Here is a 16,814-nt window from a genome sequence, read left to right on the forward strand (position 1 = left end):
AGTAACGTACAACTTTCCTGGAATTAAAAAAGAAGAAAATATGAGGATTCAGACTATATCTAAGGTCTTATTTTATTTAGCACTAAAAGCCCTCTATGCTTATCTACACGAACAACCCTGATAACCTACACAGGTACTTCCCAAACCTGCCTATGCTTCAGAATCACCTTCAAACACTTGATAAATATGCAGGTTTGTGTTCAAAATACAGTCCACTTGTTTTGAAAAAAAGAGCCCTTGAGGACTTTGACATGCAGCCAGCTGAGTGCTGAGCAAAGCTCTGGCTTTGGGGAGTGTGGCCTTGACAACTGCACAGGGGACTGCACAAGGGCATTGTTTATGTCACTACTGAAGCCATTTTGCACTTGGATTGTGAAGTCCCCACACTGACCTTGGCCAAGAACCTTTCCCGCCCCTGGCCTCTGCTGCTGCTTCTACAAAAGGAAGGGTTGGATTTTCTTCCAACTTGGACATTCTACTAGTTCATCATCCAGTGCTCCCTTGTACTCAAACCTGTCCTATTTAGTAGAACATTTTTGCCTAGGGGTCGTCCTCTGCAGAATTGTGAGGTGACACTGTCTTTTACACCCTGAGTTCCCAGGGCATGGTTCTAATAGTCTCTTTTCTTAATAAAAGTAAACGAAATCACTAATATCCATATGTTACTTTTCTCCTACTGTGAACAGATTTAATTATTCCTTTGAGAAATCTCTGATTTCCAAATCAATTCTGAAACCTTCTTGCCTAGGAAGAAAATATTTTGCTATCACATTTATTTTAAGGGGAGTGGTCCACCCTGCCTAGGGAGGTTCATATTTTCAAAGAGGCCCTTAGGCATGGACAATATTTAAGCCGATGAAATAAATTATTGGCAAAATTAAATATCTGCTTGGCTGATATATGGGATGTGGGGGAGCTCTGATGTGTTGCAACACATACTCCTTAAGTGACCACCCGTATTCCCTGCAGATAAGGAAAATTCTATTTGTATATTAATCTTGTGTCACTAACTAGTTCATTCAGATATTCAAGCTACTTTGAGTGAGCCAGAGTCCCCTCTCCAGGGAGCTCACACTTTAAGGGAAAGACAGATATTTACAGTATAAGTGAGCCTGAGAGGCAGGATCAAAATGTGGAGAAGAGGTGGAGACACCACACAGAAGCCGACCTTTGATTTCCTCTTGAAGGGCGTGGAGGAAGGTGTCAGGTAAAGAGAGTTAAGGGGAGGCAGGGAACGATTGGAGCTTAACAGAGGTGGCCAGTTTTAGCAGAAGGATGGGCTGTCACGTTTGAGAAGATGTCAGTTGGGTGTTCCCCAAGAGACTGTCTACCCTGAGTGTTCAGAGGTTCGATGTCTTTTCAGGGAGTCTTTCTTCTAGTAGTCTCTTTTCTTAATAAAAGTAAACAAAAACACTTATATCCGTATGTTACTTTTCTCCTACTGTGAACAGATTTAATTATTCCTTTGAGAAGTCTCTGATTCCCAAATCATTAAATAATTAGTGACCTGATTGAGCACTGTTTTGAGACTTATTTGCTACTTCTTAGACTACGAAATGAGAGAGGCTCAATTTCCTAACACTTACAAACCTTAGGGAAAGGACCAAGTTAATTCTGGCAAGGACCTCACTATATTATAAGTGATTACTGAGGAAAGGCAAAGATCTGAAGAATAGTGATGTCTCTCCAATCGGCATAATCACAATGCACTTTTTTGGAGGGCTAGGGAGAGAATGCATGGATGTGGGGAGACTGGGCACCTGGTCATAGCCAATGTTTGGACACTGGGTTAGGAAAACTAGTCCATTTCTGCAACTTGGCCCATTTTACAGAAGAGCAAACTGACTCAGAAACATGAAAGCTCACGTAAATATGACGTGTTTTCCCATTACATCACACACAGTGGACGGTAGAGTAATACAAAGGGTCTTTGCAGCTCTGTACTAGATGCTAAGAGAATGCATTCTATGCAACTTCAGAAAATACAGACTCCCAGATCCTATTCAGACTTAACCAACACAAACATTCAGAAGTGGGATCGAGGAATGTTTTCCTGTTTTAAGCTAGGGTGATTCTAATGAGTATCTCTGATTAAGAACCACTCTATTGAGTAAACAGACAACCTACAGAATGGGATAAAATTTTTGCAGACTATGCATCTGACAAAGGTCTAATATCCAGTATCTATAAGGAATTTAAATTTACAAGAAAAAAACCAAAACCCCATCAAAAAGTGGGCAAAGGACATGAGCAGACACTTCTCAGAAGAAGACATACACATGGTTAACAGTTATGTGAAAAAAAAGCTCAACATCACTGATCATTAGAGAAATGCAAATCAAAACCACTTTGAGACACCATCTCACACCAGTCAGAGTGGCCATTATTAAAAAGTCAAGCAATAACAGATGTTGGCAAGCTTGTGGAGAAAAAGGAGTGCTTTACATTGTTGGTAGGATTGTAAATTAGTTCAACCATTGTGGAAGACAGTGTGGCGATTCCTCAAAGACCTAAAGATAGAAATACTATTCAATCCAACAATCCCATTATTGGGTACATACCCAACGGAATATAAATCATTCTATTATAAAGACACACACATGTGTATGTTTATTGTGGCACTACTCACAATACCAAAGACATGGAATCAACTTAAATGTCCACCAATGATAGACTAAAGAAAATATGATACATATACACCATGGAATACTATGCAGCCATAAGAAAGAATGAGATCATGTCCTTTGCAGAAACATGGATGGAGCCAGAGGCCGTTATCCTTAGCACACTAATGCAGGAACAGGAAACCAAATACCACAATGTTCTCACTTATAAGGGGGAGCTGAATGATGAGAGCACATCAACACACAGAAGGGAGCAATACACACTGGGACCTATCAAAGGGAGAAGAGTGGGAGGAGGGATAGGATCAGAAAAAAGAACTAACGGATACTAGGCTTAATACCTGGGTGATTAAATAATCTATACAACAAACCAACACGCATGACACATGTTTACCTAGGTAACAAACCTGCACATCCTGCCCATGAAGCCCTGAACTTAAAATAAGTTTTTTTTTTTTAAAAAAAGAATCACTGTATCATCAAATGCTCTATTTATACTTAAATCGTTTGGTTTGCTTGGTTCATTGATTTGTTTTCCCCCCTTTAGTCAGCCCAGTTTCTGTTAACACAGCATATCTGAAACCACTAACATTTGGAGTTTTGCCAGGCTTATTCTCAATGCATGCATTTGGCAAACTCATTCTTATTTATTCAGGATTGCAGTACTTAAGAAGGTTGTATTCACCAATTTCCTGCATGGCCTCAATTGAGTCTTGTCTGTAAAAGGATCATATGACGCCGCTGTTGGATTCCAGGATAAAAACCCGGGCATGCATCTCTGTCCTTGAACGAACTGAGAAAGCGGGTCTCCTTTCCGACTGTAGCCCTCAGAGGACTTCTGTGTATTCCCGGAGCCGGTGGCTTCCAGAGCCTCCAGAAGCCTCCAGTGCCGCCTGCTGGAAGAACATTTTATTTCATGCAACTTTACGAGGTTGAATGCGGTGAACCCGGGAAACTTGGAAATTCCCATAAAAAGGCAAAGGCTGTAAGCCACCCAATTCATATTCTCTTAATGTCAGCAAATAGAGGCCCACCCTAAAGGGAGATTCTGCAAAAAGGAGAGAGGGAGGAGAGGGCTGGAGAGAGGGAAGCAGGAAGAAAGGAAAAATCAGTTGCTGCTCTTTGGCTAGGCAGTCACCTGGTTAGGTGCCCTACATACTCTATCTCTCAGCCAATGCACAGCTGGGCAGCTTTATGGGATGCATAGAAATAACAATATCAATATCATATGGAAAACATATGCCCTAAAACAACAAAAGCAAGATATTAGAACCCATGGACCTGATCCACATTGAATAAATATTATATTGTATGCCAACATCGGCTCTAAGCCAATCAAAACAGCTCTCAACTCAATAAGTCTTCCATAAAATAACTACAAGGAAGTTATAGGACCCTAGGAACTACTCCAGCTAGAAGCAAAAATGAAGGGCTCTGGCAAGTTTTGACAAGGAAGATAGAAAGACACTATTTCAGGAGGGTGGCCTGGTAACACAGCTACTTTATACCTAGGAAAATTTTAATCTTGGGGTAAATCAGAAACCATAAATAACATACAAATGAAGATCCTGGGTATTTTAATCTGCAGTTTTTCGGTTCTGTGAACATAAGTAAAAGTTGGTATCAGTCCCCGTGTGAGGCTTGGGGTCACTAGGCCCCTTTGTCACCGCCATTGCCACCCACAGCAGTAATTTTTTGACAATGATGATTCTTTGTATAGGTATAGATATAGGAACATACAACCCTAGTTTTAAAAACTGAAAACGTGTGACTCTCTCATCCTACATCTCATAAAGTCACTCATTCTGTTTATTCTTCTCAATAGCAGAGATTTTCTAAGTACAACAACAATAACAAAATTGCTGCAGGTAAGACTGATCATGCCATTGAGAATGGAGTGGCTTAGGGAAGGGAAAATTGTAGCAGAAGTTTTCAAAACAAAGGACTTTTGGCTCTCAGTGACACACCAGGAAAGTCTAAAGTCCTTCAATTGTCCTTTAAAGTTTCCTCAGGTGGGGGCTGGACACAGTGGCTCACACCTGTAATCCCAGCACTTTGGGAAGCCGAGGTGGGCAGATCACATGAGGCCAGGAGTTCAAGACCAGCCTGGCCAACATGGCGAAACCTCTTCTCTACTAAAAATACAAAAATTAGCCAGCCATGGTGGCACATGCCTGTAATCTGAGTTACTTGGGAGGCTGAGGCACAAGAATCACTTGAACCCGGGAGGCAGAGATTGCAGTGAGCCAAAATTGTGCCACTACACTCCAGCCTGGGTGACAGAGCAAGACTCAGTCTCGAAATAAATAAATAAATAAATAAATAAATAAATAAATAAATAAACAAATAAAATAAAGTCTCCTCAGATGAATTGTTATTTAGAAAAAGGGTCAGAGACTGAGATTTCACTAAGTTCCTGTTGTCTCTGTAATGTCCCCTGCCTCACAGACTAAACCATCTGATTTGTTTAGAAGGATCTGGAATCTCTCTTGGGTTTTTCAGCATCATGCAACAACTTAGGACATTTAGTCGTGTTGCGAGAGCAATTCCAGCCTTGAAAGAAAAGGCCAGGGCAGATGGCTGAAAACAACTTTAAAGGTTGACTGCGTGTTTAATGGTATTTATTTCCTTCCTCTGCCACTCTCAGCCTAATTGGTTCTAAAAGTCGGTATGAGGTAATATACAGAACATGAGCTTTGAAGTCAGGGAGACCTGAGTTCCAATCCCAGCTCTTCCGTGTGTCAGTTGAGCAGCACAGGCAGACTTAACTTAACCTTTCTTTTTTTTTTTTTTTTTTTTGAGACTGGGTCTCAGTCTGTCTCTCAGGCTGGAGTGCAGTGGCACAATCTCAGCTCGGCAACCTCTGCCTCCCAGGTTCAAGGGATTCTCGGGCCTCAGCCTCCTGAGTAGCTAGAACTGCAAGCAGGTACCACCATGCCTGGCTAATTTTTGTATTTTTAGTACAGATGGGGTTTCACCGTGTTAGCCAGGATGGTCTCGATCTCCTGACCTCACGATCCAGCCACTTTGGCCTCCCAAAGTGCTGGGATTACAGGCATGAGCCACCGCACCTGGCCCTTACTTAACCTTTCTGAACATTGGTTGCTTCATGTATAAAATGGGAATACAATGGGCCTATCTCATAAGCTCTTCCTAACAGGTTGTAGAAAGGAAAGGAGAAAGTGTGTGATCCCCTTAGCCTGGTGCCAGCCTCCTCGGAGGAACCCAGAGAATGAGCATGATCATGGTGCTGAAGATGAGATGTTCATGTGGGAAGAGGGAAGAACTTGGCAGTGCTCTTCTCCCACCTTCTAGGGTGGAAATGACCTAAATGTCCTAAAACCTGGCCTCTGCCCTGCATGGATTAACCCGCCCAGCCACTAGAAGGTGGAGGGAAAGACCGAGGCTCCAAAAGGAAAATGTTTGAAAGGCTCAGCATGATGATGAAGGATGGGACCTCGTAGCCTGCACTGTACCACCTGCTTCCTCAATGTCATTTCTGGCACCTCGCACGATGCGTGGGACATGGTAGGCATTGCATGAATATTTACTGAGTGGATCCTCTGGCCCCAGGCATGTGGATGAGCAGAGAGAGCCAGGCCCTGGGCAACTCTGTTGCTTCCTTTGTGCCTGGCCACTCATGGTGGCAGTAGCTTCTGTGCCCTGTCTGTGCCCTGGCCCAACCACTTACTAGCCCTGGGATCCCAGGCAGATTAATGACCCCCCTGAGGCTCAGTTTGCTAATCTGCAAAATGGGGATAACAATTTCACATAGCTGTTTATAGGATTAAAATGTAAGATATAAAAGGCACATCTTACAGTACCTAGCACACAGTAAAAACTTAATGCCAGCTGTTTAAATTGCCATCTTCACTATCATAGTGTTATTACTAGAATTATTATTCTGGCTACATGCTGATTGTTATGTTATTCTAGAACCTGGCTTCTGGCCCCCGGGTCACCAATTTCAGGCCACTCTCAAGCATAGTAATCAATCTTGTTAAGGGCAGTGGCATCTGTCACTGTTCTGAGCTTCCTCCATTGCCAATGAGTGGTTTTGTGGGATTCCCAGTACGAAGCATATGGCCGAGTGGGGTGGCTCATGCCTGTAATCCCAGCACTTGGGGAGGCCAAGGCGGGCAGATCACCTGAGGTCAGGAGTTCATAACCAGCCTGGCCAACATGGTAAAACCCCATCTCTACAAAAAATACAAAAATTAGCTTGGCGTGTTGGCAGGTGCCTGTAATCCCAGCTACTTGGGAGGCTGAGGCAGCAGAATCGCTTGAACCCAGGATGTGGAGGTTCCAGTGAGCTGAGGTCAGGCCATTGCACTCCAGCCTGGGGAACAAGAGCGAAACTCCATCTCAAAATCAATCAATCAATCATAAAAAGAGAATCCTGTGGTTAGAGGACGCCCTCTTCAGGTAGTGACCCTTCTCTTGCAACATCATGTTTATTCAAGGTTGCTCATTCCTGTTCATCCATGTGTGGAATGTCTCTTGGACAGCCTGGGAGTTTGAGGGCTGAAATTGAAGTGAAGCTACTATGTGTCCAGTCATGGGTGGCTGATAAGAGCCTGGGATTTTATTTTATTTTATTTTTTTTGAGACAGTCTCCCTCTGTCGCCCAGGCTGGAGTGCAGTGACACAATCTCGGCTCACTGCAAGCTCCGCCTCCCGGGTTCATGCCATTCTCCTGCCTCAGCCTCCCGAGTAGCTGGGACTACAGTCGCCCGCCACCACGCCTGGCTAATTTTTGTATTTTTAGTACAGACGGGGTTTCACCATGTTAGCCAGGATGGTGTCGATCTCCTGACCTCGTGATCCACCTGCCTCGGCCTCCCAAAGTGCTGGGATTGCAGGGGCCGGGATTTAAATACATCTTCTGCAAAGGGGCTTCCACGTGTAGAAATTTTCTGTCATGCCTAAAATTCAACCCCCAGAGAGTCATTCCTTCTGCATCTGGAGAACATGGTCTTCCAGGGAGCATTATTACATGGCACTACTCCTAGAGAAATCACTCCTGAAGGTGCCATTACAATAGCAGCAGCATAAGAAGAGAAGTGAATATCATTTGCACATTAATATCATTATCTTATGCCAGGCACAGCGCTGAGCCCTTTATGTGCATGATCTCACTATATTCCAACAGTTTGAGGTGGGCATGGCCAGCCCCATTTTTATACATAAGGAAACTGTGCTTCAGGGAGATTAGGAAACATGAGCTAAGTCATGCAATTAGTAGGTGGTGGACCTGGGCACAGTGCCAAAAACTGGGTGGGTGAAAACAATAGCAATTGTTTTTCTGACAGTTCTGGAGATTAGACGTCCCAAATCAAAGTGTCAGCGGGGGAAACCTACCTGGGAGAAACCTTCTGAAACCTGGAGGAGAGACTCTTTCCTTGCCTCTCCCTAGCTTCCCGTAGGGGTCAGTAATCCTTGGTGCTCCTTGGCTTGCAGCTGCCTCGCTCCAATCTCTGTCTCTGCTGTCACATGGCCTTGCCTCTGTGTGCCTGTGTCTTCACCTGGCATTCATCTACCTGTGGGTCTCTCTCCTCCTCCTTTAAGGACACGAGCCATATTGGATTAAGGAGTCACTCTCCTCCAGTGTCAGCTCATCTTAATGTAGGTAATTACATTTGCAATTATCCTCTTTCCAAATGAAGTCCCATTGTGCGGTACTGGGGATTAGGACTTCAATATATCTTTTTGCGGAACCACAATTCAACCCATAACATTCAGTAAAATATGTCACGTGTCATGTGAACTAAAACATGCTCTTACCAAGCAAAAATATGATACCTTGAAGTTCATATTCTATTTCACTCTTAAATTTTTAAAAAACCATATAAAAGCTCCAGGTGGCCACTTGAAGAAGGACAAAATTGAAGGACACTTTCAGTTTCTTTGTCCTTATAATTCCTGTGTTAGCTTTATTTTAAATCTACTGTTTAAATTCAAATAAGTGTATTACTACCAGGGTTGTAGACAAAAACTGTGCCTCAGGTGAGTTCAAATCACTCACAGCTGTGATAAACTTGTTCTCTGAATGAAAGCATGTATTTGTGTTCCCATGTATAATTAGTAGACTTGCCAGATGAAATACAAGACATCTGTTAAATTTAAATTTCAAGCAAACAACAATGTTTATTTTGGTATAAGTATGTCTGAAATAAACATGAGGCATATTTATACTAAAAATCATTTGCAGTTTACCTGGAATTCGAATTTAACTGGGCATCTCTTATCTTTATTGTTAAATCTAGCATCTCTAGCTGAGAGACCTTGGAATTAACTTTCATGTGGAATACAAGGCTTATTAGAGGTTAAGAAACAAAAATGTGCTAAGTTGAAGCTTTCACACATATCATTAAAATTCAATAGTAACCATGACAATTATTTGCAATGGCGACCTACAAAATAATTTTTCAGGAAAGACTATTTTATCACTGACATGATTTAAAACTGCCAAACACAACAATAACAAAAGCAACCTAATTTTTAGTCAGTTTTATAATTGTTTTTACGTTTTCAACAGATAATGCGGCCTCTTATTGTTTGCATGGGAAGCTGGTGGTATCCACTGTCCCACCGTTAGTCCATTACTGACTGTGAATATTAAACATATAACATGAGCGGAACACAGTCTCAAAAGCCCTCTTTCACATCCATTATTCAATTTAATCCTTGTAGTGGCCCTTTGGATAGGCCGATGTGGTTTAAAAAGTATGTAAATGAGAAAGCTTGTGTGACTGACTTACCCACAGCCATGCACTTCCCGCAAGGTAGATCAAGGGCCAGTGGCCCTGTCTGTTAACCTTTTGCCCGGGACACCTTGGTTCTAATGCTAGTTTTACCACAAACTAAACTGACTTGAGCCACTTTATTTATCTTGGCCTCACTTTCCTCATGTATAGAAAAAGACAGAGTTGAGCCAGGTGACTTTTGAGATGTCTTCTAGCTCTGAGATTCTACAGTTCAGATCTTGGGACCAGTTCAGACCCAGGCATTTAGCCTCTTACCGTTGGCTGGGAGCAAGAGAGGAGAGCCGGGACACAGCACAGGGATGTGGGAGTGGTGTCGAAGCATCCCAGACTTTACCTCTGTCATCATTTGGCCCTGGAGCAGTGAAGTGCCGCTGTGCAAACAGCAAACAATACACACTGCACTGCACTCGCCCCTAAAACTAGAGAATGGTGCCAAGGAATCTTGCTGGGAACGCCCTTCTCATCAGCTCACACTCACACACGCCAAGAGCATGTACGCACACCGTACACACAAAGTCAAAGGACCGAGACTCTTCAGGTTCTATATGAGAGCCTTATTAAGGACGCTTCAAAATTCTCACCATCAGCCAGTGGACAGGGGGTCAGCAGCCCCATTAATCTACTTCCAGGGTGGGTCTGATCTCATTGACACCCATGTGAATCCAGTGACTTGGTCTCTAGCACAGAGTTTTATTCAAGCCTCAGTGCACTTGCTATCTCTGCCACTCAGTTTTTGTGTTTTATTATTACCTTTGTGAATTTTTAAGATATTATGTGGGTGTGCAGGCAGATGAGGCCTGGAGAGTGTGCTGGGCTGGGAGAAGACAGAAAAGCAGGTAAGGAAGAACATTAAAAGCAAAGAGAAGAGAAAGGCCTGAGGAATCCTCTTATTGCCTGCATCTAACATATATATGTATGTATGTATAATACCTATAATTCATATACATATATATCAAAATAATAACTGCAGCAGTAACAAATAGAACAATAGATATATTTAATTGCAAGACCGAATAGAGTAACATACTTTTTTCCTTCCAAGTTAATTTACGGATTTAACACAATCCCAGAGCTGGAAAAGGCTCTATGAAGCAGACTATCTGCTACGTCAGGGGTGACTTCATAAATCAGCACAACACTTCGAAAGCAAGTTGGAAATATGTGTAAAGAATTAAAAAATATCAAAGCCCATTGGCCATAATTTACCTCTGGGAATCTGCCCTAAAGAAATAATCCAAAATAAAAAAAAACCTATGTGTTCATAGATGCTCAGTACAGTATTTATAATAATGAAAAACTGGAAGGAATTTAAATGCTTACTAATGGAGAATGGTTATGGAAAAACATAAAAGGGATATTATGCAGATATTAAAATTATTGCACAGCAAATAATGTTAAGGAAAAAAGTACAACATAAGTCTCTATTGTTATAACTGGCAAAAAGCTTAGAAGCAAATGTTTTTAAAAGTTGCCTTTTTGATTTGGATGGTAGGTAACTTCTTTCCTTTCTAAATATTCTGTAATTTTCCTGTTATAATAAGAGAAAAGTAAAATGTAGACCAAAATTGAGTTAGTAAAGTGTACTTTATTTTTTATGACGCAACTAACCACATCCCATATTTGGCCTGCCAAATATCACTACTCACCTGGTAGCCTTTTTCCTTAATTGTGGACACAGTCCCTGAGAAGAAAAATATTAATCTTATAAACTAAAACAATTACACAAGAAGTATTTTATCTCAAAGCAGCCCCTGCATAGAGCAGGCCTGGGTACACAGTTTACCGCAGTGAGTCAACCTGCAGGGCTGCACTGGCTCTGGAGCAGGCTCAGGGGAGGGCAGTGTCTATAAAGAGATCTGGCCCATGTAATGTGTTTGTTATATCTCAAGAGGACAAGTTATAGGAAGAACCCAAGAAAGAACCGTAAATGAGATGAAGGCCATTGTTTTTAATCCCCCTGTTTTAACCTGTTCTCATGCTGCTAATAAAAATATACTCACTCAAGACTGGGTAATTTAAAAAGGAAAGAGGTTTACTGGACTCACAGCTCCACATGGCTGGAGAGGTCTCACAATTGAGGCTGAAGGCAAAGGAGGAGCAAAGTCACATCTTACATGGCGGCAGGCAAGCGAGGGCATGTGCAGGGGAGCTCTCCTTTATAAAACCATCAGTGCTCATGAGACTTACTCACTATCACCAGAACAGCACAGGAAAAACCCTCCCCCATGATTCAGTTACCTCCCACTGGGACACTGCCACGACAGGTGGAAATTATAAGAGCTACAATTCAAGATGAGATTTGGGGGGAAACAGCCAAATCATATCACCCTTTCACTACAATTTCTCCATTCAGACACTGGTTTAATCTCCTGCTGAACTATGTGTATTTCTGTAAGCCATCTCAAATTTATATTGGAACAAGATGATTATCTACATAAATAAAACAGTCAGATTAAAACAACATGAGAATCAACTCTACATGCAGCACTATTGAAGGCATATGGGATGAGGGGCGAGCAGTTAGAATTCTCAGACATGGTGCCTCCCGCACAAGAGCCAAGCATCTAGTCGGGGATATATGGGGGGAAATGGGGCCATGAGATATGAAGGTAAATTAAGAGATGAAGGGGTCCAGGCACAGTGGCTCATGCCTGTAATCCCAGAACTTTGGGAGGCCAAGGCAGGTGGATCACCTGAAGTCAGGAGTTCCAGATCAGCCTGGCCAACCTGGCAAAACCCTATCTCTACTAAAAATACAAAAATTATCAAAGCGTGGTGGTGGGTGCATGTAATCCCAGCTACTTGGGAGGCTGAGGCAGGAGAATCACTTGAACCCGGGAGGCGGAGGTTGCAGTGAGCAGAGATCACATCACTGCACTCTAGCCTGGGTGACAAAAGTGAAACTCCATCTCAAAAAAAAAAAAAAGAGATGAAGGGGAAAAAAATTATAAGAAAAGAGAAGGATCAGGGAACTGTAGGTCTGGGAGAGATACCAAAATAAAAAAGACATCCCAAGGAAGACAGACTGCCTTGTGGACCACAGAACACGTAAGAACATAATAGCACCACTATGAAATAAATTGAGTTTTGGTTTGGCTTCATATTTCTGCTTTCTGGTTGAGGTACTGGGGAACCTCATTTGGATTCAAGTGCAAACACATCTTGTTCATTTTGATTTATCTGAGAAATTTCAATCAAGTATCTTAGCACAGCACAGTACTCAGGCTGTCATTCCTTTGAAAAAGACAGGTGATGTATGGGTGCAACCACCGCAGGGTCTTCTGCACGCTGGGCTTTGCGGCTGCCCTGGAAGCTACTAAGCTTATCAATCTTGGCCCTTGGCTGGCACATTCAGCCTCTATTGTTAGAGGCTGCTGAACATGGCTTAGGTCCTGGTCAAAAGATTATGTGAAAGTTTAAACAGACACTGAAATTATTCTGTTTTTCTTTGCTTGAATGATGAACTGAGCTATTATTCCTGAAGGGTATGGCCTGGGTTTTTATTACTATGCAGATGAGCTAAGGTTATTTCACTCTGCTGTCAAATTAAAAAGCTGTGCTTTCTTTTTGAACAGCTCACACGATGCTGGGACAGGGACATCACTGAATTTTTCTGCAGCAAATTGAAGACCAAATGGGAATTTCTGCCTCAATCAGCATCCATTGGGAATCAACTTGATGTGAGGCGTTATGCTAAATAAGGCAAGTTAAAGAGATATATACAGATGACATGAGCCCTGCTTCCAGGTTGCTGAGAAGGAGCACCTCACAGAGATCAAACAGAACATTTACGTACGAAAAAGAGTTCAATAATGGCATGAGGAGGCAATGTGAATAATTTCAGGCTGGAGAGTAGGAAAGTCATTAAAATATATTGATTGCAAGCCCTACCTGATCTGCCATCCAGCCCCCACCCTCAGCTCTGCCTTAATCTCCTCCAGTTCTGCCTTCTCCTCCCTATGCTCCAGGCACTCTGGCCACCTCCCTTTTCCTGGAGCATGTCAGGCAGGCTCACATCCAAGGGCCTCTGTCCAGGCTCTCTCCTTTGTCTGATAGCTCTTCCCCAGATGTCTACATGTCTTCTCCCTCACTTCCTGTAGGCTTCTATGCACAATTCACACTGAGAAAAGCCTTCCCTGACCACCCTATCTACACTTGCAACTCCCCTTCCAAGACCCACTCTCTGCATTATTTTTGTCAGCACCTACTACTGTCTAACATAATGCATGATTTACTTGGCCATATTGCTTTTTATCCTGGTCCCTCTCTTAAATATAAGCTATAAGCTTCAAGAAGGCAGGAAATTTTGTCTGCTTTTTTTTTTTTCTTGCTCTGTCGCCCAGGCTGGAGTGCAGTGGCGTGATCTCAGCTCACTGCAAGCTCTGCCTCCCGGGTTCACACCATTCTCCTGCCTCAGCATCCCGAGTAGCTGGGACTACATGCACCCACCACCATGCCCGGCTAATTTTTTGTACTTTTAGTAGAGACGGGGTTTCACCGTGTTAGCCAGGATGGTCTCGATCTCCTGACCTCGTGATCTCCCCGCCTCGGCCTCCCAAAGTGCTGGTATTAGAGGCATGAGCCACGGCGCCCAGCCATTTTGTCTGCTTTGTTACTGCTACATCTCCACAGCCCGGAGCAGTGACCAACACGTGGTGGATATTCCTGAATATTTCTCACATGAATGAACTAATTGCCTCTTGCTTCTCTTGCACTGTGCGAAGTGCTTTATGTAAGACGTGTATTTGAACACTCTTGGCAATTCCATGAGGCAGATGTTATTTGGAGGAATTACAATGTGTCCCCTCGGGCCCACAGCAATGTTTTAGAGTCCTCATCAGGGCAAGGTCTGTTGGATGTTTCCCATAAGGTTTCACAGGGCAGTGTTCCTCACTTTGGTAAATTTACTCTGGACCAAGGTGTATGGACTTTGGCCTCGCTGGATCAGAAACACTTTTTCAAATTGCCAACGTTTTCATTAACAGTGAGAGAGAAAACTGCCCAATGAACAGGCGTGAACACCACGTGCTGAGTATATTCCTTTCTATGAAGTCAGACCCACATGGGAAGCCAACCGAACAACAGCACCACTGCAAGCCTCCAGCATTTATCTCTACGTTAGGACTTTCCCCCACAAAGCTCAGCCCAAGTCAAAGCTCCCTCTGCTTTGGGCAGAGCTTGGTGAGAGAGCTGATTCATCTCCTTTGCTCCTGTTTTCATTCTCCATGCTTCTCTTTCCTGCTCTGTGCCCCAAGACCCCAGCCTTTACAGCTTGCCTGCTGGGTTTATTTCTTTTGACTTCTGGTCAGACACCAGTGGGAGTCACCAGCAGGACAGTTGATGAACAGGAAGAGAAGGAATCGGGATATTTCCCCAAACTTCCCACTGCAGGCTCATCAATTTGGCGGTGGCTATTTTCATGTACAGCCGAGCTCTATCTAGCCAGGTCCAGTGATGTCATTTCTCCTTCCAAGCCTGGGGCAGCGGCGGAGGAGGGGATAGCTCCCAACTGTGCAAAAGCCCTGGAGGTTCCACCATCTCTTGTTGGTTCTCTTAGGTCTATCCACACCTTTGTTAACCTCCTTATGAAACTCTCTTCAATTAATCTTTAAGTGTGCTACCTGTTTTCTACCAGCACCCAGACTGATACAATGTCACTGCCAGGGATTGACTTGAAGGCTTTCCATTGTCTGTACTTCAAAGATTAATCAACTCACCAACTCGTCTATGAATTAACTAGTGCTTTTCTTGAGCAGTGCCGTCCAACAGACCTTTCTGTGTTGACGGAAATGTCCTCGATCTATGTTGTCCCACTAGCCACATTATCGGTGGGCACTTAAAATGTGACCAGTGAGACTGGGGAACTAAATTTTTAACTTTGTTTAAATTTACTCAATTTTAGTTTAAATAGTTACACGTGAGCCACCATACTAGCTGATGCAGGTCTGGCCATGTCATCAGTCAAGTACTGTTGACCTGGTAGTTATTTTTCCTTCAAATGACATATCTGTGTCTCATCATTTATGGGAGCAGTCTTCCTAATTTCCAAGATATTGATGGAAAACTCACCATAGCCCCCAGGAACTACAACAATATTATCTAGAGAGATTAAGCAACTTGCCAGCATGGGCTGCATGACAATACTTATGACAGCGTTAGTTAAACAAGAGAACAGTGTTACACAGGAAACTATTTCATGGGTTCCCTGTTTCTGTAGGAGAAGTGGAACAAAACTTTCCCCCTTCATCCCGATAGCAAAGAATTCAGCAGCAAGCTAACAATATCACAGTAGCATGTAAGTTCCTGGCGGATAGTGACTTGCTGATAGTGAATTAGGAAGGGGAATTGGACATGCACAGGACGGGCTTTCTCCTCCTCCTAGGAACCAGCTGTCTGTAGGAAACCTACGATCAGCTCTGCTCCTCCAAGGAAAACTGCAATCAGCTCTGCTTCTCCATCAGGAAACAGTATAGGGAAGGCTGCCAGGTGGAGAGCCTGAATTGACCTGAGGTGTAGGTGTGTCTGATCCGGGGGCTCAGTGCCCAAATTCCTTCTGGTCAGCAGGTACAAACTGCCCTAGCATTTATCAGTAATAAAAGGGTCATCTAGGTGTTCCATCTGCCTTCCTCTTGTCTAATTTTTTAAAATTTTACTTTAGTAGCTTTAAGGGTACAAGTAGTTTTTGGTTACATGGATGAATTATATAATGGGGAATTCTGATGTGTTAGTGTCACAAGAGTAGTGTACATTGTACCCAATATGTAGTTTTATATCCCTCACCTCTCCACCCTCTGCACTTCTGAGTCTCCAAAGTCCATTATACCATTCTGTATGCTTTGCATACCCATAGCTTAGCTCCCACTTGTATGTGGTAACATATGGTATTTGGTTTTCCATTCCTGAGTTACTCTACTTAAGGTAATGATTAACTCCATCCAAGTTGCTGCAAAAGACATTATTTCATTCTTTTTTATGTCCGAACAGTATTCCATAGTGTATATATATATTTTCTTTATCCACTCATCAGTTAATGTGCACTTAGGTTGGTTCCATACCTTTGCAATTGTGAATTGTGCTATGATAAACATACATGTATGGGTGTCTTTTTTAATATAATGATTGACTTCTTTTTCTTTGGGTAGATATCCAAGTAGTGAGATAGCTGGATAGAATGGTAGATCTACTTTTAATTCTTTGGGAAATCTCCATGCTGTTTTCCACTGAGGTTGTACTAATTTACATTCCTACCAGCAGTGTATAAGTATTCATTTTCACCACATCCACACCAACATCTATTATTTTTGACTTTTTAGCAATGGCCTTTCTGGCTGGGGTAAGGTGCTATCCCATTGTCGTTTTAATTTGCATTTCTCTGTAGATTAGTGACGTTGAGCATTTTTTATATGTTTGTTAGCCATTTGTA

General features: G+C 42.8%; 1 long non-coding RNA gene across 1 annotated transcript in view; it reads left to right on the forward strand.

Moving 5' to 3' along the window:
* LOC105379300 (uncharacterized) overlaps positions 1-13,087 on the forward strand; it is a 31,326-nt gene extending 18,239 nt beyond the window's left edge. The window contains exon 5 of the long non-coding RNA XR_949537.2: positions 12,967-13,087. This is a non-coding gene — a long non-coding RNA (uncharacterized LOC105379300). The remainder of the gene's footprint in view (positions 1-12,966) is intronic.
* The last annotated feature ends 3,727 nt before the right edge of the window (positions 13,088-16,814 follow it).

The sequence above is a fragment of the Homo sapiens genome, chromosome 8, assembly GCF_000001405.40.
Source record: "Homo sapiens chromosome 8, GRCh38.p14 Primary Assembly".
Taxonomy (NCBI): Eukaryota; Metazoa; Chordata; class Mammalia; order Primates; family Hominidae; genus Homo; species Homo sapiens.